Source organism: Homo sapiens, chromosome 2 (assembly GCF_000001405.40).
Source record: "Homo sapiens chromosome 2, GRCh38.p14 Primary Assembly".
Taxonomy (NCBI): Eukaryota; Metazoa; Chordata; class Mammalia; order Primates; family Hominidae; genus Homo; species Homo sapiens.
In genome coordinates this window covers 168,851,018-168,878,752 of record NC_000002.12, presented here as the reverse complement: position 1 = coordinate 168,878,752, position 27,735 = coordinate 168,851,018, and the positions used below count along the sequence as shown (strand labels likewise).

General features: G+C 38.4%; 2 protein-coding genes across 16 annotated transcripts in view; one reads left to right on the top strand and one right to left on the bottom strand.

Annotated features, from left to right (window-relative positions):
* The window catches only part of SPC25 (SPC25 component of NDC80 kinetochore complex), a 28,910-nt gene extending 11,678 nt beyond the window's left edge, over positions 1–17,232 (top strand). Inside the window, exons 4-7 of one of the 2 annotated variants that reach the window (XM_011511516.3) lie at positions 1,369–1,515; positions 2,577–2,681; positions 5,070–5,168; positions 13,357–17,232. In XM_011511516.3, coding sequence (XP_011509818.1) covers positions 1,369–1,515; positions 2,577–2,681; positions 5,070–5,168; positions 13,357–13,367 — 362 coding nt within the window. In that variant the 3' untranslated portion in view covers positions 13,368–17,232. Of the gene's footprint in view, positions 1–1,368; positions 1,516–2,576; positions 2,682–5,069; positions 5,169–7,197; positions 7,863–13,356 lie in introns of those variants that run through there. The other variant, NM_020675.4, reaches the window with a different exon arrangement.
* The window catches only part of NOSTRIN (nitric oxide synthase trafficking), a 78,976-nt gene continuing 64,479 nt past the window's right edge, over positions 13,239–27,735 (bottom strand). For 9 of the 14 annotated variants that reach the window (NM_001171631.2, NM_001039724.4, XM_005246270.2 and 6 more), the window contains 8 exons: positions 27,571–27,669; positions 27,349–27,474; positions 23,293–23,401; positions 21,975–22,063; positions 19,116–19,241; positions 17,844–17,958; positions 16,704–16,793; positions 13,239–13,919 (listed from right to left, as the gene is read on the bottom strand). In NM_001171631.2, coding sequence (NP_001165102.1) covers positions 13,783–13,919; positions 16,704–16,793; positions 17,844–17,958; positions 19,116–19,241; positions 21,975–22,063; positions 23,293–23,401; positions 27,349–27,474; positions 27,571–27,669 — 891 coding nt within the window. In that variant the 3' untranslated portion in view covers positions 13,239–13,782. Of the gene's footprint in view, positions 13,920–15,129; positions 15,377–16,703; positions 16,794–17,843; positions 17,959–19,115; positions 19,242–21,974; positions 22,147–22,542; positions 22,868–23,292; positions 23,402–27,348; positions 27,475–27,570; positions 27,670–27,735 lie in introns of those variants that run through there. The other 5 variants (XM_006712233.4, XM_017003278.2, XM_011510540.3 and 2 more) reach the window with 4 other exon arrangements.

Below are 27,735 nucleotides of genomic sequence, written 5' to 3'. Positions count from 1 at the left end.
AGTATAAACATCTATTCTTACCTATGTATTAATCACTGGTGTTATGTACAAAAACTATTGATTTTTTTGGGGTGTAGTACCACAAATTCTGATAGGTTTTCAGTAGATTTTTCTGAGTATTCTAGATAGATGTCTATTGTCTACATATAATGAAAAATAGTTCTTGTTTTTTCCTTATAGTTTTACCAGCTAAATATCTTGTCTTGGCCAGAAACTTCTAGGGAAATATTAAATAACAGTGCTAACTGGCATCTATTTTATTCCTTTTGGAAATGCCAAATATATATGATGAGATTTGAAAGGTTTTTGATTTGTTTCTATCATGTTAAATGTCCTTCCATTTATAGTTAAGAATAGTCAGGAGTGGATGCTGAATTCATATGAAATGTCTCTTCAATTCTTATTCATGTGATGGATTTTCCTAATATTACACCTTCACTATGTAAAATCCTTGGTATAAACTATATTTGCTCTTAGTGGATTATTTTTAATGTAACTTAATATTTTATTGAGCATCTTTGCACCTATGTTTTTAAGTGAGATTAGTTTATATAGTTGTGGGCAGAGGGCCAGTGCTATCTTTAATTTTTTGTTTTAGCTTTAGAATTATGCTTACATTGTAAGCTTTGCCTGCCCACCTGTCTTCCTTCACTTATTTCTGTCTTTTGGTATGTTCCGGAATAATTTATATAGCATTAGAGTGAGGCTTTTCCTCAAAGCACTGTTTAAAACCATCTTCTAGAGTTTGGTTGTTGGCCAGGCGTGGTGGCTTGCACTGGTAATCCCAGCACTTTGAGAGGCTGAGGTAGGAGGATTGCTTGAGCCTAAGAGTTTGAGACTAGCCTGGGCAACATAGTGAGACAAAAAAATTTAAAAATCAGCCAGGCGTGATGTGGTGTGTGCCTGTAGTCCCAGGTACTAGGGATGCTAAGGTGGGAGGCTGCAATGAGTAGTGATTGTGCCACTGTATTCCAGCCTGGGCAACAGTGAGACCCTGTTTCAAAAAAATATAAAAATAAAATAAATAATAGAGTTTAGTTATCTTTGTTGGTAGTTTTTATTTCTGTGCTTATTTGGAGTGGGGAGCTGCAAGGGTCATGATCTTTTGATTTTCTGTTTCTTGATTTAATTTGGTATTCTCATTTTAAGAAGCTTTTCTGTCTCATTTTTTTTAAAGATGAGTAAGTAGGAAAGAATAGATTAGGTTTTTTTTCTTTTTTGTCTTTTATAATTTTGAATCATTAGAAAATGCTTATCAGTCAAAACATTCTTTATTAATCTTTATGAAAGTCAGTAAACTTTGGCCTTTTCTTAGATACATGTCAGAGAGCCAAGCATATTCTAGCTAATACCTTGTGCTTCTTACAGAGATCAGCAGGCAAAATAAGCTCATTCAAGAAAAAAAGGATAACTTGTTAAAATTGATTGCTGAAGTAAAAGGCAAAAAGCAGGAATTGGAAGTACTGACTGCAAATATCCAGGATCTTAAGGAAGAATATTCTAGGAAGAAGGAAAGTAAGTTTCCTCTTATAAACATACTGATCTAAAATGGAAAGTGGTGACGGTTCACCTTTATTAAGTACATCTTGCCTGTTCCAGTTCATTGCTAAAAATGGATTACAGTACCCCAGGGCATAACCAGCCACTCATCTCTGCAAGATGTCATTAAAGTTAACTAACTGGGTTTTATTTTCTTTTGTCTTACTTAAAGGGCCTTCTCTTGTTATTTTTAATATAATCAGTAATAATGAAATTGATAGGAGGTTTTAATTAAGCAGAGTGAGAAATGGTGTCCCTAAATAAAATTTGCTTTGGACAAGCCATAGTGTACTTTATGCAACAAATATTTATTGACCATACATTCTCTGCCAGGTAATGTTAAGCGTTCTTTTTATGCTGCAAAATCTCTTATGTATAAAGAACTTTCATATTCAAATGAATGCATCTTTTAGAAAGGAGCCTTGTTTGCTCACAAACTAGGTAGTCTATTCTTCAAATCTGAAAATAGCAAAGTTTGTTTTGTAAATGCTTTTTCTTGTGGAGTTCTTATCCAAGTCTAAATTGTGAAATTATTTTTCTCATTACTTAGGGACTATTGTGCTACTTTAAAGTATATTTAGGGACTATTGTGCTAACTTAAAAAAAAAAAAAAGAAAAAACTAAACTAGCATGAAATAAGGCTGACCTCTCATAAGAAATAGTTATGTTAAAGGAAGAGAACATTTTCCCATGAAGCAATTGGTTATCTAGAAAAAAAGCACAGTAGTATAAATGAAGTCTATTTCTATGCCAGCCATACAAATCCCTGGCCTATTTACTTATGCTACTACATAATAAAGTAAGACAAGGCTTATTCTTCTCACTATCTGTATACATTTTCCTGAGCAGTTTTTCCTTCCAACTTGAATGAACAGAAGCTTCTTTTAGCCAACTGGTAGATATAGAAACAATAAATGGAAGCAGATTTATAGGCTTGGCATCATTTTATAGTTGATTTTAAGTTTAAAAAATTAACTCAGTGAGCATTAATTTGCTATTATTTAAAACATTTAATATTGTGTGTGTTTTTTAATCAGCTATTTCTACTGCTAATAAAGCGAATGCAGAGAGGTTGAAAAGGCTGCAGAAATCTGCAGACTTGTATAAAGATCGACTTGGACTAGAAATTCGAAAAATTTATGGTAAGTTTGTTAATATAAATAAAATATAGGAGATTACAAAAGTATGTCTTTTCTTAAGTAGAGGAAAATTTTAAAAATATTTTCAACTAAAATAATGACCACATTAACTTTTTAGAAAATAGGAAAAAATTACAATTTTTAAATTATTCTAATGTAGCTACTGATGCTGTAGTTATTTATCATTCGGTATTTTAATAAATGTATTTTTGGCATGATTGTCAACATGCAAATAATTTTTGTTCTTCCTATCAGCATTGTATTCTGAGCATTTCCTCAGTTGCTATAGTCTTCATAATGGTAATTTTTAAGTAGTGATGTAATAATTCATTCTATTAATATAGCATAATTTATTCAACCATTTACCTATTGTTTAGCACATATTTTGCTTCTACCAACATTTGGATTCTGCCATTTTTTTCAGTTTTAGAAATACAGTCATCCCCACTTATTCACGGTTTCTGTTACCCATGTTCAACCGTGGTCTGATGATATTAAATGGATGAGTATGGTACAATAAGATATTGTGAGAGGGAGAGAAGCTACATTAATATAACTTTTATTACAGTACGTTGTTGTAATTGTTCTGTTTTATTATTAGTTGTTGTTAATCTCTTTCTGTGCCTAATTTACAACATAAACTTTATCATAGGTATGAATGTATAGGAAAATACATAGTATGGACAGTCCCTGACTTATGATAGTTCAACTTACAATTTTTTGACTTTATAATCAGTTTATCAGGGTGTTAAATGCATTTTTGCCTTACAATGTTTTTGACTTTTGATGTGTTTATTGGCACATAATGCCATTGTAAGTCAAGGAGCATCTGTTTACATAGTGTTTGCTACTATCTACGGTTTCAGGCATCTGTTGGGGTCTTGGAACATATTTCTCCCTGGTGGATAAAGGGGGACTATTGTAAACCAGTGAGCATAGACTTTCCCATTTTCTTTGCATGGTTTTTCATAGAATTGTTTCCCAGAGAGGAATTAGTAGGCTAAAACACATGAATATTTTGATGCCTGTTGCATGTATATCACATGTACATCGCTAATGTATGGCAATGTCTGTTGTGTCTGGGCTTCCCAAGATCACTCTCAGGTTTGGTGATTCACTAGAAGGAATTAGCATATAGTCATATTCATAGCTAAGATTTACTGCAGCAAAAGGATACAGAACAGAATCAGCAAAGAAACAATAGCACGTGGGGCAAAGTCTACAGGAAACCTGGCACAAGCTTTCAAGAGTGCTAACCCAGTAGAGTCAAACAGGATGTGCTAATTCCTTCAGCATCAAATTGTGACAACACACGTGAAGTGTTGTCTACCAGGAAGCTCATTAGAGGTTCTGGACGCTTATGCCTGGTTCTCCTTGGACTTTACTCCATGTACCTTTTCCCTTTGCTGATTTCGCTATATCCTTTTGCTGTAATAAATCATAGCCCTGAGTATGGCCATATGCTGCTGAGTGAATCCTATGAGTTCTCCTAGTGAATCATAAAAAAGACCACAGCAGCCAAGTTCATTCCATTTTATGGCTGAACAATGTTCCATTGTATGTGTGTACTATATCCATTCATCTGTTGGTGGGCACTGGGTTATTTCCACTTTTTGGCTACTATGAATAATGCTGCTATGAACATTGGCATACAGTTATCTACTTGAGTCTCCGTTTTCAATTCTTTCAGCTCTATACTTAGGAGTGGAATTGCTGGGTCATATTGTAATTCTGTATTTAAACTTTTTGAGGATCTGCCAAACTGTTTTTCACAGTGGCTGTACCATTTTACATTTCTACCAGCAATGTGCTAGGGTTCCAGTTTCTCCACATCCTCACCAACACTGTTATTTTCCATTTATTTATTTGCCATCCTACTGGGTATGAAATGGTATCTCATTGTAGTTTCGGCTTGCATTTACATAATGACTAATGATGTTGAGCATCTTTTTGTGGACTTAATGGCCATTTTTATATATTCTTTGGAGAAATGTCCTTTCAGATTTTTTGCCCATTATTGAATTGGGTGGTTTTTAGTTGCAGGAGTTCTAAATACATTCTATGTATTCAACCTTTATCAGATAAATGATTGCAAATATTTTCTCCCATTCTTTAGGTTGTCTTTTCCTTCTCTTGATAGTGTTCTTTGAAGGACAAAAGTTTTTAATTTTAACAAAGTCCAATTTATCTAGTTTTTCTTTTGTTGACTGTATTTTTGATGTCATATTGAAACTATAATATATTTTAAAACGAATTTGTAACTTCTGCATTTGGAAATGTTGGTTACATGACTGTATATACTTAGCAGTGCAGATATTGATCAAAGATGGAGTAAGAAAGGGTATCTCCATTGAAAGCTTTGACACACTAAATAGTTTAATCTCTTTTCAGGTGAGAAATTGCAGTTTATTTTCACTAATATTGACCCTAAGAATCCTGAGAGCCCATTTATGTTTTCCTTACATCTCAATGAAGCAAGGGACTATGAAGGTATGTACTAATATCTCCTAACTGGTATTTAAGATTGGCGTTCCAAAATGTTATTTCAATCAGCATATAAAGTAATATGGAGGAAAGTAATAGCTCCAGACTCTATTGCTTCCTTTTTCAGTCTTGCTTCTTGGAGTATAGTCTTCTAAAGGAAGTGAATATAGTCTTGATTTATAGATACTGTCTAAGATCCTTAATAAGTAGCATCTCTTCAGGATGGCACAGTGCCACAGTGTCTGAACAATCTAAAAACAAAGATCATTGCATTTATGTGCAAATATGAATTGTCCTTTTAGATAACTTTTTTAAAAGGTGAAGCTTTAAAGAAAATGGCTGCTTAAATGTGAATATTAGAATTTATCCAAGTAGATGATTTTAAAATCAAATGTAAAGTCACCAGAATTTAACAATTTATTTTCCCAAAAATAATTTTTGAAATACGAATCCTGCAAATCTCACACATTGATAATAAAGGTTAGTTACTGATTCTGCAGCTGGCCAAAAGGCCTTTGATTTATAAGGAATATATATCATTGATAATAATGTGAACAAGAAGAGAATAGAAATATATTTATCTCTTGTTTATTCTTCTAATGCCCCTGTACAAGTAATCCTTAATTTATTGGAATTCATAAAAATGGTTCTCAGCTCATTACACCTATGCTATCATCTTAAAGCCTTTGTAGCTGACAGACACTCAGGTGAACTGCTGAGCTGGCACAGCGCTGTGCCCTGGTGACTCAGTTCCTATTTCTGGGGAATTTATATTTTGAGAATCTGATTTCTTATACAGATGTTTGGGTTTTTTTCTCTCTAGATAAATATCTTCCAATCTAATTAGTGCTAGATTTTAAAAAGCAAGCCCCAAAAACCTCTTATTTAGCTTTTCAATTTTCTCTAAATTGGATATTCTCTTATGGTATAATCTGATAGTACATGATAGTATATTAAAATAGAATATACAGGATACATTTTGGACCAGATGCCCTTTGCTGTTGTTTCTCTGCTGTGGTCATGGACCTTGTTTCCTAAGCAATCTGTACAAGAGAGCTGGAAATCTGATAATGGGTGAATTTCTTTTCCTTTGACCACCTTCACTGGAGACTTGTCCCAGTGTACCAGCTGGTACAACTACATACAAGGACAATACTGTTATTCGTGACTTTGAGTCTCATTTGATTAATAGCCCCTGTAAATACCACTCTTGGAATAGCAACCACATTTTCTAATGCCTGCCATTTCACTTGGAAAATTCTAGATATTTCTTTCATAATTGTAAGTTATTAAGGCTGGGCATTGAAAACTGTTCTTTTTTCAGGCTGGGCATGGTGGCTTACGCCTGTAATCCCAGCACTTTGGGAGGCAGAGGCAGGCGGATCACTTGAGGTCAGGAATTCAAGACTAGCCTGGGTAACATGGTGAAACCCTGCCTCTACTGAAAATACAAAAGTTAGCTGGACATGTTACCTTTAATCCCAGCTACTCAGAAAGCTGAGGCAAAAGAATTGCTTGAAGCCAGGAGGCAGTTTGCAGTGAGCTGGGATCTCACCACTGTACTTCCAGGCTTGGTGACAAATCAAGAATCTGTCTCAAAAAAAAAGAAAATTGTTCCTTTTTTTTTTTTAATTCCAGTGGTCAGAAATGAAAAGTCAGTCAGACCAAAGTGTTGCAGATAAAAATGACTTAACAGTTTTTAAAAAAAGTTTAAATAGTTAAAACAAAATATATAAGTTTAAGATGATGGGCAGGGTCATTCTGTGTCACTAAACTCTTCGATCCTTCAGTGCCATCTGTTTAAATTTAAAGCAAGATTATAGTACTTAAGATTTGAATATTTAGAGATTAAACGAAGGAAAGGTCCAAAAGATATTTGGCATAGGAAAATCAAGTGTATCCTTTTTTGCTCAAAGAATTTCATTAAGATGGAATTGACATTCAAACCAGATGAGAGCATCTAGATTAGAAATACTTCTGTGCCATAAAAAAACTCATTCTAATTGTCTTTGATTTCTTTTTTTTTTTTTTCTAGTGTCAGATAGTGCCCCTCATCTTGAGGGCCTAGCAGAATTTCAAGAGAATGTAAGGAAGACCAACAATTTTTCAGCTTTTCTTGCCAATGTTCGGAAAGCTTTTACTGCCACGGTTTATAATTAACATACAAATAGTGTATATAAAAACGGTTTATTTTTCTTCTCTATTACATATCTCTTTTTTTCTTGTTTTTATTATTATTATACTTTAAGTTTTAGGGTACATGTGCACAATGTGCAGGTTTGTTACATATGTATACATGTGCCATATTGGTGTGCTGCACCCATTAACTCGTCATTTCATTAGGTATATCTCCTAATGCTATCCCTCCCCCCTCCCCCAACCCACAACAGTCCCCGTTGTGTGATGTTCCCCTTCCTGTGTCCATGTGTTCTCATTGTTCAATTCCCACCTAGGAGTGAGAATATGTGGTGTTTGGTTTTTTGTCCTTTCGATAGTTTGCTGAGAATGATGGTTTCCAGCTTCATCCATGTTCCTACAAAGGACATGAACTCATCCTTTTTTATGGCTGCATAGTATTCCATGGTGTATATGTGCCACATTTTCTTAATCCAGTCTATCATTGTTGGACATTTGGGTTGGTTCCAAGTCTTTGCTATTGTGAATAGTGCCGAAATAAACATACGTGTGCATGTGTCTTTATAGCAGCATGATTTATAATCCCTTGGGTATATACCCAATAATGGGAGGGCTGGGTCAAATGGTATTTCTAGTTCTAGGTCCCTGAGGAATCGCCACACCAACTTCCACAATGGTTGAACTAGTTTACAGTCCCACCAACAGTGTAAAAGTGTTCCTATTTCTCCACATCCTCTCCAGCACCTGTTGTTTTCTGACTTTTTAATGATTGCCATTCTAACTGGTGTGAGATGGTATCTCATTGTGGTTTTGATTTGCATTTCTCTGATGGCCAGTGATGATGAGCATTTTTTCATGTGATTTTGGCTGCATAAATGTCTTCTTTTGACAAGTGTCTGTTCATATCCTTCGCCCACTTTTTGATGGGGTTGTTTGTTTTTTTCTTGTAAATTTGTTTGAGTTCATTGTAGATTCTGGATATTAGCCCTTTGTCAGATGAGTAGGTTGCAAAAATTTTCTCCCATTCTGTAGGTTGCCTGTTCACTCTGATGGTGGTTTCTTTTGCTGTGCAGAAGCTCTTTAGTTTAATTAGATCCCATTTGTCAATTTCGGCTTTTGTTGACATTGCTTTTGGTGTTTTAGACATGAAATCCTTGCCCATGCCTATGTCCTGAATGGTATTGCCTAGGTTTTCTTCTAGGGTTTTTATGGTTTTAGGTCTAACATGTAAGTCTTTAATCCATCTTGAATTAATTTTTGTATAAGGTGTAAGGAAGGGATCCAGTTTCAGCTTTCTACATATGGCTAGCCAGTTTTCCCAGCACCATTTATTAAATAGGGAATCCTTTCCCCATTGCTTGTTTTTGTCAGGTTTGTCAAAGATCAGATGGTTGTAGATATGTGGGATTATTTCTGAGGGCTCTGTTCTGTTCCATTGGTCTATATCTCTGTTTTGGTACCAGTACCATGCTGTTTTGGTTACTGTAGCCTTGTAGGATAGTTTGAAGTCAGGTAGCGTGATGCCTCTGGCTTTGTTCTTTTGGCTTAGGATTGACTTGGCAATGCGGGCTCTTTTTTGGTTCCATATGAACTTTAAAGTAGTTTTTTCCAATTCTGTGAAGAAAGTCATTGGTAGCTTGATGGGGATGGCATTGAATCTATAAATTACCTTGGGCAACATGGCCATTTTCATGATATTGATTCTTCCTACCCAGGAGCATGGAATGTTCTTCCATTTCTTTGTGTCCTCTTTTATTTCACTGAGCAGTGGTTGTAGTTCTCCTTGAAGAGGTCCTTCACATCCCTTGTAAGTTGGATTCCTAGGTATTTTATTCTCTTTGAAGCAATTGTGAATGGGAGTTCACTCATGATTTGGCTCTCTGTTTGTCTGTTATTGGTGTATAAAAATGCTTGTGATTTTTGCACATTGATTTTGCATCCTGAGAGTTTGCTGAAGTTGCTTATCAGCTTAAGGAGATTTTGGGCTGAGACGATGGGGTTTTCTAGATATACAATCATGTCATCTGCAAACAGGGACAATTTGAGTTCCTCTTTTCCTAATTGAATGCCCTTTATTTCCTTCTTCTGCCTGATTGCCCTGGCCAGAACTTCCAACACTATGTTGAATAGGAGTGGTAGGAGAGGGCATCCCTGTCTTGTGCCGGTTTTCAAAGGGAATGCTTCCAGTTTTTGTCCATTCCATATGATATTGGCTGTGGGTTTGTCATAGATAGCTCTTATTATTTTGAGATACATCCCATCAATACCTAATTTATTGAGAGTTTTTAGCATGAAGGGTTGTTGAATTTTGTCAAAGGCCTTTTCCGCATCTATTGAGATAATTATGTGGTTTTTGTCTTTGGTTCTGTTTATATGCTGGATTACGTTTATTGATTTTCGTATGTTGAACCAGCCTTGCATCCCAGGGATGAAACCCACTTGATCATGGTGGATAAGCTTTTTGATGTGCTGCTGGATTCAGTTTGCCAGTATTTTATTGAGGATTTTTGCATCAATGTTCATCAAGGATATTGGTCTAAAATTCTCTTTTTTTGTTGTGTCTCTGCCAGGCTTTGGTATCAGGATGATGCTGGCCTCATAGAATGAGTTAGGGAGGATTCCCTCTTTTTCTATTGACTGGAATAGTTTCAGAAGGAATGGTACCAGCTCCTCCTTGTACCTCTGGTAGAATTCAGCTGTGAATCCATCTGGTCCTGGACTTTTTTTGGTTGGTAAGCTATTAATTATTGCCTCAATTTCAGAGCCTGTTATTGGCCTATTCAGAGATTCAACTTCTTCCTTGTTTAGTCTTGGGAGAGTGTATGTGTCGAGGAATTTATCCATTTCTTCTAGATTTTCTAGTTTATTTGCATAGAGGTGTTTGTAGTATTCTCTGATGGTAGTTTGTATTTCTGTGGGATCGGTGGTGATATCCCCTTTATCATTTTTTATTGCGTCTATTTGATTCTTCTCTCTTTTCTTCTTAATTAGTCTTGCTAGCTGTCTATCAATTTTGTTGATCTTTTCAAAAAGCCAGCTCCTGGATTCATTGATTTTTTTGAAGGGTTTTTTGTGTCTCTATTTCCTTCAGTTCTGCTCTGATCTTAGTTATTTCTTGCCTTTTGCTAGCTTTTGAATGTGTTTGCTCTTGCTTTTCTAGTTCTTTGAATTGTGATGTTAGGGTGTCAATTTTGGATCTTTCCTGCTTTCTCTTGTGGGCATTTAGTGCTATAAATTTCCCTCTACACACTGCTTTGAATGTGTCCCAGAGATTCTGGTATGTTGTGTCTTTGTTCTCATTGGTTACAAAGAACATCTTTATTTCTGCCTTCATTTCGTTATGTACCCAGTAGTCATTCAGGAGCAGGTTGTTCAGTTTCCATGTAGTTGAGTGGTTTTGAGTGAGTTTCTTAATCCTGCGTTCTAGTTTGGTTGCACTGTGGTCTGAGAGACAGTTTGTTATAATTTCTGTTCTTTTACATTTGCTGAGGAGTGCTTTACTTCCAAGTATGTGGTCAATTTTGGAATAGGTGTGGTGTGGTGCTGAAAAAAATGTATATTCTGTTGATTTGGGGTGGAGAGTTCTGTAGATGTCTATTAGGTCTGCTTGGTGCAGAGCTGAGTTCAATTCCTGGATATCCTTGTTAACTTTCTGTCTCGTTGATCTGTCTAATGTTGACAGTGGGGTGTTAAAGTCTCCCATTATTATTGTGGACTTGCTTTATGAATCTGGGTGCTCCTGTATTGGGTGCATATATATTTAGGATAGTTAGTTCTTCTTGTTGAATTGATCCCTTTACCATTATGTAATGGCCTTCTTTGTCTCTTTTGATCTTTGTTGTTTTAAAGTCTGTTTTATTCGAGACTAGGATTGCAATCCTTGCCTTTTTTTGTTTTCCATTTGCTTGGTAGATCTTCCTCCATCCCTTTATTTTGAGCCTATGTGTGTTTCTGCATGTGAGATGGGTTTCCTGAATACAGCACACTGATGGGTCTTGACTCTTTATCCAATTTGCCAGTCTGTGCCTTTTAATTGGAGCATTTAGCCCATTTACATTTAAAGTTAATATTGTCATGTGTGAATTTGGTCCTGTCATTATGATGTTAGCTGGTTATTTTGCTCGTTAGTTGATGCAGTTTCTTCCTAGCCTTGATGGCCTTTACATTTTGGCATGTTTTTGCAGTGTATGCCACATTTTCTTAATCTAGTCTATCATTGTTGGACATTTGGGTTGGTTCCAAGTCTTTGCTATTGTGAATAGTGCTGCAATAAACATACATGTGCATGTGTCTTTATAGCAGCATGATTTATAATCCTTTGGGTATATACTCAGTAATGGGATGGCTGGGTCAAATGGTATTTCTAGTTCTAGATCCCTGAGGAATCGCCACACCGACTTCCACAATGGTTGAACTAGTTTACAGTCCCACCAACAGTGTAAAAGTGTTCCTATTTCTCCACATCCTCTCCAGCACCTGGGTTGTTTCCTGACTTTTTAATGATTGCCGTTCTAACTGGTGTGAGATGGTATCTCATTGTGGTTTTGATTTGCATTTCTCTGATGGCCAGTGATGATGAGCATTTTTTCATGTGTTTTTTGGCTGCATAAATGTCTTCTTTTGACAAGTGTCTGTTCATATCCTTCGCCCACTTTTTGATGTGGTTGTTTTTTTCTTGTAAATTTGTTTGAGTTCGTTGTAGATTCTGGATATTAGCCCTTTGTCAGATGGTAGGTGGCAAAAATTTTCTCCCATTCTGTAGGTTGCCTGTTCACTTTGATGGTGGTTTCTTTTGCTGTGCAGAAGCTCTTTAGTTTAATTAGATCCCATTTGTCAATTTTGGCTTTTGTTGCCATTGCTTTTGGTGTTTTAGACATGAAATCCTTGCCCATGCCTATGTCCTGAATGGTATTGCCTAGGTTTTCTTCTAGGGTTTTTATGGTTTTAGGTCTGACATGTAAGTCTTTAATCCATCTTGAATTAATTTTTGTATAAGGTGTAAGGAAGGGATCCAGTTTCAGCTTTCTACATATGGCTAGCCAGTTTTCCCAGCACCATTTATTAAATAGGGAATCCTTTCCCCATTGCTTGTTTTTGTCAGGTTTGTCAAAGATCAGATAGTTGTAGATATGCGGGATTATTTCTGAGGGCTCTGTTCTGTTCCATTGGTCTATATCTATCTCCGTTTTGGTACCAGTACCATGCTGTTTTGGTTACTGTAGCCTTGTAGGATAGTTTGAAGTCAGGTAGCGTGATGCCTCTGGCTTTGTTCTTTTGGCTTAGGATTGACTTGGCAATGTGGGCTCTTTTTTGGTTCCATATGAACTTTAAAGTAGTTTTTTCCAATTTTGTGAAGAAAGTCATTGGTAGCTTGATGGGGATGGCATTGAATCTATAAATTACCTTGGGCAATATGGCCATTTTCACAATGTTGATTCTTCCTACCCATGAGCATGGAATGTTCTTCCATTTCTTTGTGTCCTCTTTTATTTCATTGAGCAGTGGTTTGTAGTTCTCCTTGAAGAGGTCCTTCACATCCCTTGTAAGTTGGATTCCTAGGTATTTTATTCTCTTTGAAGCAATTGTGAATGGGAGTTCACTCATGATTTGGCTCTCTGTTTGTCTGTTATTGGTGTATATAAGAATGCTTGTGATGTTTGCACATTGATTTTGTATCTTGAGACTTTGCTGAAGTTGCTTATCAGCTTAAGGAGATTTTGGGCTGAGACAGTGGGGTTTTCTAGATATACAATCATGTCATCTGCAAACAGGGACAATTTGACTTCCTCTTTTCCTAATTGAATGCCCTTTATTTCCTTCTCCTGCCTGATTGCCCTGGCCAGAACTTCTAACACTATGTTGAATAGGAGTGGTGAGAGGACATTCCTGTCTTGTGCCAGTTTTCAAAGGGAATGCTTCCAGTTTTTGTCCATTCAGTATGATATTGGCTGTGGGTTTGTCAGAGATATCCTACCATCCCCTAATTTGGGTTGATCTCATTGGTGTCTTGATTGCCTGTCTCTCTTCTTGGAATTGATCTGTGTTCCTCATCTCCCAGGCTCTGCTTGACCCCCTCATAGGCCTGCTGTGTTCTGTTGCCACCCAAATCCAGAGGAAAAAGACATCTAAGTCCCACTGCTGTTGTCTACCAGATAACTCTGACTTCAGGCAAGCAGCTGAACCCACCTTGGACTCCGTCTGTTTCTGTGACACCAGGGGTTATACTGGATCATCTCTAGGGTCTCCTAGAATTTGGAAACTCCTCTAGGAACCAAGGAGCCTCTTCCTTGTCTGTCTCCACCCATCCATCTTTTTTCTGACTGTTTCAAGCTAATAATCATGAATGCAAAGTGCTGTGACATGCAGGTAGAACTCCATCCATTTCAAAAGAAAAACATGTAAAGGTAAGAGCACTTTATTCTTATTTGAACCACACTGTATTGTTGATTACCGAGTGTGAAGGTAGTATGTTCAGAGTCTTGTTTTATGCCTTTGTAGCTGTGTTGCCAGCATTTGAAGGTAACTCCTCCACATAAGCGGCAGGAAAATGGCCTTTTTTCCCATTCAAAGATCCAAACCACCATCCTCCTTCTTTTTTCTCGTGTATAATCACAATGTCACCTGTGAAAATACAGTTAGACAAATGGGTCTCTGTGATGTGAACACATGCCTCAGCCCGATTGATAAGAGTTTTAAGGAGGTTCTGCTTCAAGGATTTACTTGGTAGTGTCATTTTCTGCACTTGATTCAGATGAAGCCAAATGTATCGAACACCTGTGTATAAAGCAGGCATAATCCAGAGGATACTAAAAAGAGTAAGATAATGAACAACTGAGATATATCATAAAATAATTGCTTAAAGACAGGATTGGCTGGGCGTGGTGGGTGACGCCTGTAATCCCAGCACTTTGGGAGGCCAAGGTGGGTGGATCACAAGGTCAGGAGTTTCGAGACCAGCCTGACCAACATGGTGAAACCCCTTCTCTGCTAAAAATACAAAAATTAGCTGGGTGTGGTGGCGCACGCCTGTAATACCAGCTACTCAGGAGGCTGAGGCAGGAGAATCCTTGAACCCGGGAGGCAGAGGTTGCAGTGAGCTGAGATCATGCCACTGCACTCTAGCCTGGGCAACAGCAACAGGGCAAGACTCTGTCTCAGAAAAAAAAAAACAGGATCACAGCCAGGCACGGTGGCTGACAGCTGTAATCCCAGCACGTTGGGAGGCCGCGATGGGCAGATTAGGCAGATTACTTGAGGTCAAGAGGTTGAGACCAGCCTGGCCAACATGGTGAAACCCCGTCTCTACTAAAAATACAAAAATTAGCCAGGCATGGTGGCACACGCCTGTAGTCCCAGCTATTTGGGAGACTGAGGCAGGAGAATCACTTGAATCCAGGAGACGGAGGTTGCAGTGAGCTTGGGAGACTGAGGCAGGAGAATCACTTGAATCCAGGAGACGGAGGTTGCAGTGAGCTAAGATCACACCACTGTACTGCAGCCTGGGTGACAGAGCAAGACTCTGCCTCAAAAAAAAAAATAAAAAAAGATCACGTTGGATCATATATCCTTATGCTGCCTGGCTCACTTTCTATTTCTATGTAGCTGATGGATTGTCACCAAACTCTTTCTTGGTGTCCGTACTTTGAGGGTTTCACATGCTGGTGTTTTTGATTGTTTGGCGTGTTGGCTGCTATAAGTATGTCTCACCAACAGTCTTTTCTTAAGATCAAGACAATGTCTCTGCATTATCCCTGATTTCACAGGCCAAAAGTTTAACTCACTCACAGCTTTGCACAGAAATGTAACTCCCCATTCAAAATGTAACTCCCCATTCAACAACTTAGACAACTTTAATACAACATCAATTTGGAGACAATATTTTTTAAAGCAATGATTCAAATAAAGAGAATTCCATAGAGAATTGGACAAGAAACATGGCTCTTGTCATAAAAGTAGAAAGATCTGCCCCCTTCAGGATCATCTGCCCCCGTCAGGATCCAAGAGCTACTTTTTATTTGGCATCATTCTGAGGTGATTTTTCAGTCTTCCTTTCACTCTTTTCCTCAGCAACTTTCTTTCTAAGACAAAGGAAATTATTAACTCCTTTTCTATCTTTTCTACATTTTCTTAGTCATAAATCACTATTCTTAAAGGACATTATTCTCGGTCTCTAAGTTCTCCCTCGTCAGTAAATTGACATAATCTATTAACAAGAATTCAAACAAATAATGATTTCAAATTGTATTGCCAGCTTCCCTAAGGCTCCAACGTCGTGTTTCATTTAAAGAAACTGCTTAGAATATAAAGTATAAGTAGGCTTTGCAACCAACAGAGAACTGAAAACAAGATAATCAATTTATTGTGAATGATGTAACTTAAATGCTGCATCCATGGGTTCTAGGTGGCATCTGGGAAGTATGTCTGTCTTTTATTCACATAGGAAGAAAAGTAATTGCCTGGAGAGATATGACTGGCAAATGCTGCAAAGGAAACACCCAATAAATAGCAAATGTGTGGTGTCCCTGTCGTTTGGCTACAAAATGTATCTTGATTTTCCATTGGCTCTGGGAGCCATGTCCTTGTCGTGGATAATATTCTTTCTCCCATAACGTTACTCTTTCTCACTAACCCTTCCGTTTCCAGATCTCTGCATTAGCGCTAACATTCAAACATGGTTTCTAACTGGACACATAAAGAAGGTTGAGGCTGGAGACTTTCTTCTTTAATAATGTTGTGGTTTACATTATAAAGCCACTACGTAATACCTTTCCATGTTAAGTAAAACTCTGTGACACAAAGAAGGGGATCTCACTCTTTAGACTGGCTGTAAAAAGCTTTTCTGAGAAGTAAGTGAGACCAGCACTAAGCTGGGAGTCAGCTGACCTAGGTTCTAGAATTTGCACTTACTTACACTAAGTTGAGAGAGGAGGTCACTTCACATTCCTGAATGTCTAGCTTCTAAAAAATAAAAAGGTGGGGTACATCTCTAATCACTTTCCATCACTGACATTCTACCCTAGTGTGCACTGTGATTAGGAGCATGACTGTGTTTCCAAGTTCAAATCTTGTGTTGCCACAGCCTGTGACATTAGCCAAAGCACCTAACCTTCCTGTGTATCAGTCTCCTCTGCTATGAAATGGGAATACCAATAAAACCCTCCAAGGGTTTCATGAATATTAAATTGGACAATAGGCCTGCAACAATGTCTGACACACAGTAAACAGAATAAGCGTTAGCTATTATCATTATGCGAGCTTTTGTTTTAGATGTGCTTATCTTTCAAGAAGGGTGAACTGATTTGACATGGTAGTAACTCTTAAGGCTGCCACACTAAGACAGGGTTTTATTCATGCTAAGAATCTCAATATGGGAAGGCAATTAAAATATTTGAGAATGATTCTTACCCTTTTCCAAATTCAACTCATCATCTTGCCTGGCTTGAAAAGAATACAAGGCCTTGCAAAGTCTGCTGCTGAGCTGGGCTGCACCAGGGGCTGAAATAGATAAAGCTGTAATTAGTATGCTGTGTTAGCAGGCAAATGAATATGAGCTGAAGCTCTTTGGTTATTTAACAGTGTGATGCAGAGTTTCAATATATTAAATTTTTCTCAAAAGGAAAGTTTGTAATTTTATATAATGTTCATTCCTTGATTCAATAACCACTTATGATGCACTTTCTATATGTATGGACTGCATATGTTATATAACCAAAAACTATATTATAATACATGAAATAGCAAGTCTAGAGAAAAACATCATTGTATAATAATAGTAATTGCATGCATGTTTTGGAAAACATTCACCAGTTTTGCCATTCAGGTATAAATACGGGATATTTGGGGCATGTGCATGTTATCATCATCCCTAGCTGTGTATGGAACTGTTTCTCAAACAATGCAACAGTGACTCCTTAATATATTGTGTGAACCATAATGTCCTGGTTTTACTGAAGTTCTTTTTTTTTTTTTTAAACCAATTTCTAATTTAAAAAACTAGATAGTCAAGATTATGGTAATTATACTTGAACATGCAGGTACAGTGACACGTGTGTGTGTGCTGAAAGATGAAGAGCAGTGTGGTGTGTGGGTGCATGAATGACTGAAGTCAGATGGCTGCTAACAGGAGTTTGTAGGCCATGAGTCCAAGCCCTGGCAAACCACCTGGATCACCATGTGTCTCGCAGAGAGGACAGGCTTCTTATGGGAGTTTGGAGGAGGCTATGGAGACAGAGCGACAAAGCTCCTCACGATGGTTTAGGTGTGATTATGTTTATGGCAAATAACAGGCCATTTGAATAAGGTGGATGCCAGTCATCTGATATCTGAGGCAACTTCTCATAGGATACTTTCCCAACCCTCTACTCTTCTTAACTTTTTCCCATTTTTACATAAAGCTACAGAGTCTAACAAATTAATCGGTCCCAATGGAAATATAAATTTCCTTAAACAGATACAGGTCAAAGTGGCTCTGAAACTAAAATTTAAATGTAGCAATGTGCCCTGCCAGTAGGACCCAGGCCAAAATGATTGTGGGCATGGGATTACCTGGAGTTGAAGAACCTGGATTGCTCTGCCCACCAGAAGATGCCTTGCTCACAATATTCTCTAATCTCTTCATTAAAAAAGGCCGAGATATTTTCACATAGCTATGAGTATGCTCCTGTTCAAATGACATAAAAAGTCATATTTTGTAACACGATTATCATAAACATTCATGAAAATTAACTCTTCTGTAGCTGTTTTCCTCAAGTTGTTTTTTCTGTTTGTTTTTTCTTTTTTTTTTTTAGACAGAGTCTTGCCCTGTCACCCAGGCTGGAGTGCAGTGGCATGATCTTGGCCCACTACAACCTCCACCTCCCGGGTTCAAGTGATTCTCCTGCCTCAGCCTCCCCCGTAGCTGGGATTACAGGTGCCCACCACCATGCCTGGCTAATTTTTGTATTCTTAGTAGAGACGGGGTTTCACCGTGTCAGCCAGGCTGCTCTCGAACTCCTGACCTCAGGTGATCCGCCTGCCTTGGCCTCCCAAAGTTCTGGGATTACAGGCATGAGCCACTGCGCCTGGACTGGAAGTTTTTAAACTGAGGGGTATAAATAATTCAAAGATTTCTAAGCCCTACTGTGTTTCAGTTTTGAGTTGAAGCCTTAATATTTTCACAATTACACAATTACTATACTTTATAGCCTGTGTTTCCAATTCTAACCTATGTGTCTAGGTCAAATAGTAATATTCATAGCATTACTTTTACAAATACAACTTTAGTTGGCTTAATGCAAGTGAAATGATCACAACCCTGTAAATGATTGAGATTGTTTTCGAGCTCTTGAGCCTTAGAAAACTGTCCCTTCACAAGATGATTACAGTTCCCCCTTCTGATCAGTAATAAAAATAGCTACAAGCATTTCAGAGCTGTACTGATGCATTATCTGCATTAGGCACCATCTTAAACAGATGAGACTAATACATACCACAAAATCTTATAATTTAGGTCTGAACGAATATTAAAATTTCAATTTAATAGAAATTTTACTGTAAAAGCACATCCAAAGGATGAAATTCAGGTATGATGAGAAAGAAGAAATCAAAAGTGTTTTTTAGCTTCTCATAGAAGTTTGGTGTACACAGAATGTATTCGGTTTTGTCTAGCTCTTGTTATTGTGCTCAAAAGAAAAATAAAAACATTTATCTTCTTAACTAACTGCATGAATATTAATATCACATAGAATTCCTAACACCTTTTTTGCCCTGATGCTACTTTAAGCCACTCCACCCAGCAGGCCCAATCAAGAAATTACAACCAGTCTCCTTAAATGTTACCTTTTCCCTCCACCTGAAGATGGAATTACTACAAGGATGGCTGGGTTGAGGTCTTTGCTCAAGTTCTGCTAACATTGATGACAGTTTGTAGGAGTTCGCTTCCAAAAGGTCTAGTTTCAAATTGTTCTGTGGATACATCATTTGGCCATGTGAGCAAATTTCTAGTAAATGAGGCACAACTGGATAGGAATATCAGAATAACTTTCAAAATAACAAAGGTTAGAAAAGTACGCATTTAACTCATACAGATATTCACAGAAAATGCCGAAGGAAAAAAAAATGGAGGAATAAACTCTTTAAGCAGTTTAGAGGGAGGTTTTAGTTGTTGAGTGTGTCTCATTCTGTACTCTGGGGGTGAACAGGAAACCTTGGTAATATATTAGTATTTTATGGCAATGAAGAGGTTTTACTCAATTTTCTGCTGAGGGACAAGAAAGGGGATAAGTGTTGATTGTAGAAGGTAGATTTTTGGTGGTCTGCGAAGAAGGTGAGCCATCAGTGCTAAATATTGTGAACAGAATTGAATTAACATCAATAGACGCAAATGAAATTGAATGTGAGGTTTGTTTGTTCTTTGATAAGGTGAGGTCTTATATTACCCACAAAGTTTACAGGAATACTTCTGGAAACTGGGAACAATATTTTAGGGCATTTGAGTATAAACATAATAAGTCAAGCTAAAGATACACTCCTAGTCTCTGTCTGTTCTTGATATGACCTTGAACTAGAAACTTTATAATTACCTTGTCAGGCTGGGTCCAGCCAGGGTGAATTAAATAACAGAATCTAAGCATTGGAAGGGTCTTGCTTATCCAGCCCCCTCCTCACCATTATCCCTCTCTCCCCCACACCTCCAGCATGGGAATTCCCAACCCTAATATCCCTGCCAGGGTGTCACAGCCATGGACAGAAGACATCCAATTGATGGAGAAAGTCTCTAATCGTTGGAGGAATCCACTGCATTGTGGGGCAGGCTTACCTAAGACAAAACTAAAAGCTCCCCCATGCTTTCTACCATTAGACCTTCACTTGATAGTCTCATAGAGCACATCTAGTTCTTCTTCTATGTGGCCCTCTTTCTGGTCTCTAAAGACAGTATTTAATCTAAGTGCCTCCAGTTTTCTCAACAATTTTTCTTATGACACTGCTTGTGAACATTCTTGATTCAAACATGGCACTTCAAGGACCAAGATATAATGAAATAAGGAAGAATGTAAATAAAAGTTTCCTCATCCTAGAAACCTTCCGTGGGTGACACAAAATCTACCAGTATCACTAGTTTCTGTCTACCCAGATGCAGAGCATGCGTAATGAAATCATGTGGATATTTGGCATTCCTCACTTAAAGGTTCATAGTTGCTCCTTCACCAGATCATAAACATTGGAAGTTCCAAGGTCAGATGCTCTCCCTCCTTGTGTCCTCCACTGTGTGCTTCAGGTGAGAGGACCCAGATGATCCTAATACATGTATGCTGGTAATGACAATGACAAAATTCTGTGCAAGGACAGCCAAAGGAATAGATGTATAACCCAATGGCATCAGTAGTTAACTAAACAGCTTGTGCGGTCACAGAAAATGTCCTACAGTCTGTTTTATAATTTCATAAAAACTGTAGCCACGGGTCATTGCAGGTATGTTAGACCTCTGTTACCCAGTGCACACAATGCAGGCTATTTTCTTTTACAAGAAGTGTTAGGCTTGTTTCTGCAACAGCACCTTACTCAAGAAAGCCTATCTAAAAACTAGGTCAGCGATACCTCACTGCATCTGTCTTCTTTCACCAAAGAACTATTGAAATTGCCAATCTGGGTACAATTATCAAGTACCTACCTTCACAAGAAAGTTAGGCTATAAGCAAGAAAAACAAAACGCCCAGATTCCTGTACCTTCAAAACATTGCTAAAAAATTTATCTCCTTAAATGATTCTCAGATTAACCCCAGTCCACTCATGATCTCTAATCACAGCAGAAACCCATATGTTGCACACTGGTGCTATATATCTGTTCATTTTTATTCCTGTGTAAAATTCATCAGCTTTTTGTTAACTATCCCTTTCCCTTCCTCTGAAGTGGCCAAAATGTCCATCAATCCCCACGAATGTCTATGGGGCTAGAGTTCACACACTCAGCACAAAGGCCAGGAGGCCCACCTCCCTGCCTCTTCTACCATCTCCCCACCCCAATTCCCACCCTTAAAGAACTTTGCCCTCAAAGTTGCTCCTGGTTTCCCCAGATTTTGCCTCACACACCAGACTGCCCTATTCCCTCTGCAACCACGTCTTTCCTTTCCCCTGTTATTCTCCGATAACCCTGAGATCAGCAGAGGGATGAATGGAAAATACCACCTTAATAAAAATTACTAGTTTTTGAGCTCCTCCTGTGAGCATTGTGCTGGTATTTACTAAATAATATTTCACCCTCACAAAAGCCCCATGAGGTAAAGTACCAATATCCCCATTTTGCGGATGAGAAAACTAAAGTTGACCCAGGTCCCTGTAAACAGCAGAGCTAAATCTAAATACAGGCCTTTCTGAATGCAGATCCTTTGTTTCCTGTCGCTTTTCTTAACTGGGTTAAAGTGCACATGGTTTCTAGGCCCTTAAAGAACGACTCTGTTTGGAGAATACTATTTTAGACACAATTCTTTTCCTAGGACACCAAAGCAAACATTTCTAGGTAGTTGTATTTTTCCAGATCCCTCAAATGACTTATGAAGCTGACCCTATAAGCTCCCCCACTAGATTGTTCTATGTCATGAGAAAGGAAAGGCAAACAAGGCCAAGTGGACCAGAAACAAGTATTCTAAAAATAACCCTTTTCATCACTACATCTAGGAAATGCACTCGGCAAACATTTACCTCATCCATTAACGCTGCTGTGTCTTTCTGGCTCTTTGCATCAGAGAAGGAGGAGGTGCTGGAGTACGTTTTAAGCATTCGTTCCAGGCCTGAAAATGAAATCATGTTCTCAGTCACCTTTCACACTGTCTCAGTGGGACACAGCCAGGAGTCGGTCGCTCTCAAAGGGAGCCTAGAAGTGATACCAGTGAGATTTTTTTTTTTAAGACGGAGTCTTGCTCTGTCACCCAGGCTGGAGTGCAGTGGCGCGATCTCGGCTCACTGCAACCTCTGCCTCCCAAGTTCAAACAATTCTCCTCCCTCAGCCTCTTGAGTAGCTGGGATTACAGGTGTATGCCACCATGTCCGGCTAATTTTCGTATTTTTAGTAGAGACACAGTTTCATCATGTTGGCCAAACTGGTCTCCAGCGCCTGACCTTGTGATCCACCCGCCTTGGCTTCCCAAAGTGTTAGGATTATAGGCGTGAGCCACAGCACCCAGCCACCAGTAGGGTTTCTTAAATGGCTGAGGGAGTCTCTGCAGGTAGTTCTTAATAAATTTGACTGAATGATAAATGAACTGTTTACCTTTCTCTTCACTTAATGAAATTTGAGAAGTGCTGGTGCTTAAAGCATCTTGATTGTTATTTTTCCAGATGAGATTTTGAAATTCTTTCAGTCGACCCATTCTAGCAATTGCTAACAGTTACCCAACGTTGGCTTCTTCCTCGTTATGGTATTCACATCACTAAATGTTTTCTATCTTGAATTTGCTCTCTAGTATTCCATTGCAATGAGTTATCGTGGTCCATATAAAACAAGTTACTAGGTAGACATCAGAGTCACAAATGTGGAGTCGTTTTTGTCATCCTTGTTGCTTTAGAGCTGCTTCACAGTCTGACATGCCTAACTTCTACGTACAGAATTTAATTTGAAAGGTTTTTACATTGTTTCAAAAGTCAAAAGAAACAAACCAAAAAACTCATCCAAAACTCTCATGCACAGTTGGTTGACCATGTTTTAAACCAAACACATTATCTCTCATTCTAGCCAATTTCAGAAACACAGTTAAAATGCTACATTTCTGAAAATAGTAGTATAATACTTATATAGGTTTCATAAATAGACCAAAATGTGATTTTCCTTTTTTTTTTTTTTTTGGCTTTCTTTTTTCTTCTACTTTTTTTTTTTTTGTTCACACAACTGAAGTTTGATATATGGTTCTTTAAATGAGAAGACCCCTGCCAAATAGCAAAAGCAGATCAATCCTAACTCTGAATGAAACCTCTGAGCATCATATGGTCCCTTTTCTGGCCATTCAAAGAGATGGTTACACACCTTCCTTGTCTTTTGAGGCTTTTTCAATGTCTCTCTGCAGTCTCAATAATTTTGGTTTTAGTAAAGACTTTCGTCTCTCTTTATCCATTGCACTGTTAGGATCTTCTTCCTTTAGGAAAAAAGAAGGATGTCTAACAAGGGGGAAGAAGTAAGAGTTGCTATTCCCTGTCCATTCTGATACTTCCACTGGCTGCATTTAATTTTAACTTTATAAAATAAAACAAAATTTTTAAGCAGGATAATCTTTAGTTTTACACACATTGTTCTACCTGTTCGAGACCTGATGAATAAGAAAATATTGTCTTGTTCACAACTTTTAAGTCACATGGCCGAGCACTTTTTAATAGAGCAGATTGTTCTTTGAGGATGGACCCTTGCTATAGCTATTTCATTTTCTTGATAAATCTATTTGTTGTATACTTACTGCTTCCTTATTTACTTTTGTTCAAGTTAGAGTCCTTTAATGGCCCAAATGTAATATCATGTATGTGTTTCAGGCTATGACTGCCTCAGGAGTGGAAGACATTTTGACTGAGTTCTGTGTTGGCTCAGTACTGGGAAGATGTGAGCTAAAACACATATGCTCTTTCCAGAATGGGTTTATGATTTAGTTAGGCCTTGAAGCATAACATTAAAGAAACTAGCAATACAAGACCACATGCATTCACGAATGCTACAGACACCACGAGTGCAGGCAGCTGACAGCTTCGAGGAGGCAAGAAGACGTAACTGTCTAGTCAAGGAAAGATGGCAAAGGGCACTCCAGGCAGGAAAAATGGCGGGAGCAAAGGGCTGGGGGAGGACTGTGGGAAATGTGTCAGGAACAATAAAGACACCTGTTGCATGAGCAAAAAAATAGGGGAAGAAAAAATTGTTCAGGGAGTTGAGGCTAGATTTTAGGGCTGATGTAGGAATTTTATCACATAGGCTATGAGGAATCATTCATGATATCTGAGCTTTCACATGCATTATTTCAAGGATTGAATAAAAAAGAATAGGATGGTAGAGTTGGAGTGAGGAGGTTGCTAAACATGAGTGGCAGAGGGACAGAAACCCATGGAGAAAGACGGGAAACTAATGACTCAAGGTGGGAGGGGAGGATGCAGGCTTCGCTGATAAGGAAGGAGAAAAATTAGGATCCCGGCTGAGAGATTACCTTTAGATGGAGCTTCACAAACAAGAAGTGTGAGGATTTAGAGCAAAGGGAATAGCCTCTATAAAAACATATACAGATAAAAATATTTTATTTACATATTTTTCATTGCACATTACAAAAGTGTCTTTATATTCTGGGCCAGGTGTGGTGGTTCCCACCTGTAATCCCAGCACTTTGGGAGGCCAAGGTGGGTGGATCACTTGAGGTCAGGAGTTCGAGACCAGCCTGGCCAACATGGTGAAACCCTCTGTCTACTAAAAATACAAAAAATTAGCCGGGCGTGGTGGTGTGCACCTGTAATCACAGCTACTTGGGAGGCTGGGGCAGGAGAATCACTTGGACCCGGGAGGCAGAGGTTGCAGTGAGCTGACATTGTGCCACTACACTCCAGCCTGGGCCACAGAGCGAGACTCCGTCTCAAATAAATAAATATTTCTTTATATTATTTATTACATGCAACTCCTACAACTCAATGGTTGGTTTTATTTTCCTCATTTTACCTGTGACACAGATAAAAGAAGGCCCAAGTTGACCCCAAATGCTCTACCACTCCTTCACATGTCATCCCACAGCTGAGGCGCAAGCTGACATCACACCCCCAAGTAAACTCTGACTAAACTGCTAAGACACCTAACTAAAACCATTAGTCCTTCCCTGTTGAAGGAATGCAAGTCATAACATAGCTCCCATACCAGTCCAAGGCTTCCCTTGGTTTGTCTGGGGACATCTATTGTTTAAACATGTATTTCCAGGGATAGATTGCTCCTGGGTCAATTTCAGGATGGGGTATATTGCCATCATTTAACTCTTAACATTTGTCCTTCTCTTCTAAAGATTTGTTAGAAAGAAGGTCAGTACTGGAGGAGGCGTATAAAATTACAGATAACAATCTTTTGAACATGGCATTTATGGTAACCTTACAAATATTTTCACCAGGTCACCAAGCCCTCCAAGTTTTGCACTCAGATTGGTCTCTTTGTTGTCCCTGGTCCATGTAAATTTCATAACACTGGATAAAAACCAGCCTACACTTATTGACAATGACTATAAAGTCAGACATTGGGGTGCTTTGCCTTAAAGATGTCAAGAAAATACTATTCACTCATTTTGAGACACAGTCCTTTCTCTTAGACAACAGATTCATGGTTGTGAGTTCTGACACAGTGAAGTTTTATAGAAACCAAAAATTTCCCTGAACATGCCAATAAATGAGAAGTCATCATGGCTGCCTCCTTACACTTTGGTAGAACCCTAGTCAAATTTTCAAGAATAATCCTCATTTTATTGACAAGTTATTTGATAGGGGCATTTTTATTATTCTTTGTAAGAAAATAGATTTATTTTATTGTACATTTTTCCATCTCAGGCCCTGCCTACATTATTTGAAAGAAAAAAAGCGCTTTCCCCATGTAATCAAATCATTTCCACTTCCATTTCTACCTTGTTTCTGCATTGAACAGACATTGATATTGCTAATATACTTCTCCTTTGCCAAGGTAGGAAAAAAAAGACTCAGTAAAAAATAGCTGGTCATTTGCTGCTGTCTGAAGGGTGGGGAAAGGGAAAGCCAATCAGGGTTTACTGCAGTGCCTGATCTAACCACCTCTGCCTTCTACCGTCTTGTTGCCTGATCAGAGGTCCAGGGAGGTCAGCTTTGGCTGTACTTCTAATCCTATGGAGGACATGACCAGTGGGCTTGTTCTCCATATCGGAGAAGAGTGACACCCCTAATCTGGAGCTTGAAATCCTGAATAAAATATGGCAGAGGACCCAGGGAAACGCTATCAGAATTCTTTCTGCAGGTTTTGGTAATTAATAATCAGTTCCTAGAACACTACAATTAAGAATATCAAGAGGGGAGCAGAGGCCAAAATCTTTGAGGCTTGACCCAGAAGGACAAATAATTTGCCCCAATATAGCAAAGGGGCAACGTGCTTGGGCTCTCACCAGGGACACTGACCAGTTTTCAGCAAAAACACCCACAGTAGAATCACTCAAGTACCCTCAAAATAAGCCTCCGATAATCTGGTCCAAGGTTTTCAAGAGAAGGGACCATGAAAAATACTGATAGTGACTCCCACTTCCTAGAACCCATGCCTTTGGGTGATCTTCCCTCACACCCACCTTTGAGTATGGGCTGCACTTACTGACTTGCTTCTAGCAAATAGAATATGATGAGATGTCACTTCTGAGATTAGCTTACAAGAGATTATAATTTCTTGGGCACTCTGGCTCTGTCTGTCTTGATCACTCATTTTGCGGGGAGTAGGCTGAGACATGGAGAGACCCACATGGCAAGAAAATGATATCTCCAACCAACAGCAGCGAGGACTGGAGGCCTGCCAACAGCCCTGTGAGTCAGCTTGGAAGTGAGTCTTCTGGAGGAAGAGCCTGGAGATGTCTGCAGCCCAACCTGATACCTTGATTGCAGCCTTGGGAGGGGTTCAGAGACACCTGGCTAAGACACAACTGAATTCCTGACCCACATAAACTATGAGATAATACATGTTTGTTTTAAGCCATTATTTTGGTGGGGGTGGGGAGCGGTAATTTGTTGCACAGCAATTTGTGCAGACAACCAATTTAAGCACCACGTGATATACAGTGATTAATTATAGGTCATTGAAACATGTCTGCCTGGCACTACTTTTATAGAAGACCGAATATGAAGATTCTGTTTAAAACCCTGCTTGACTTTCTTTACTTCTAGAAAATACCAAAGACATGTTTCCATTGTACAGTTTGTAAACTAGAATGCTGGGTTTTTTAAATTTATATGGGGTATGAGAAATCATTTTCATTGATAAAACATGATATTTGCTTTCAATTTTTTCAATGTAAGTCCCTCAGTACCTAAGATTCTCCATTAATGTAACTTTTTTTTTCCATTTCATACTCACAAAGTAATCCGTTAACAGGAACTCAGATTTGTTTTCTGTAGATAAAATTGCAGTTTCTTCCATTACAGCCTGGATATCTTTTTCAATGTCAATCTTGCTGATGGCACAGTGAATCTGCGTGTGGCACTGCAATGCCAAGGGGAACAGAATAAGGTTGTCGAAGAAAGGTTTCTGCCCCTTCTTACCAGGCATACCAGAAATGGAGAGATCATCTCTACTCACTGTGGTCAGGGTTTGGCCAAAAAGAGAAATATGTTGGCTGTACTGGTTTAAGTTATTGCATAAAAGTTGAATTCTTTCCTTCTCCAGCTCCAGAATGCTCTGAAAAGAATGAAAATTGGGGTAAGATCAGCCAGTTGTTATGCAAAATGGAAGTCACTCATCAAA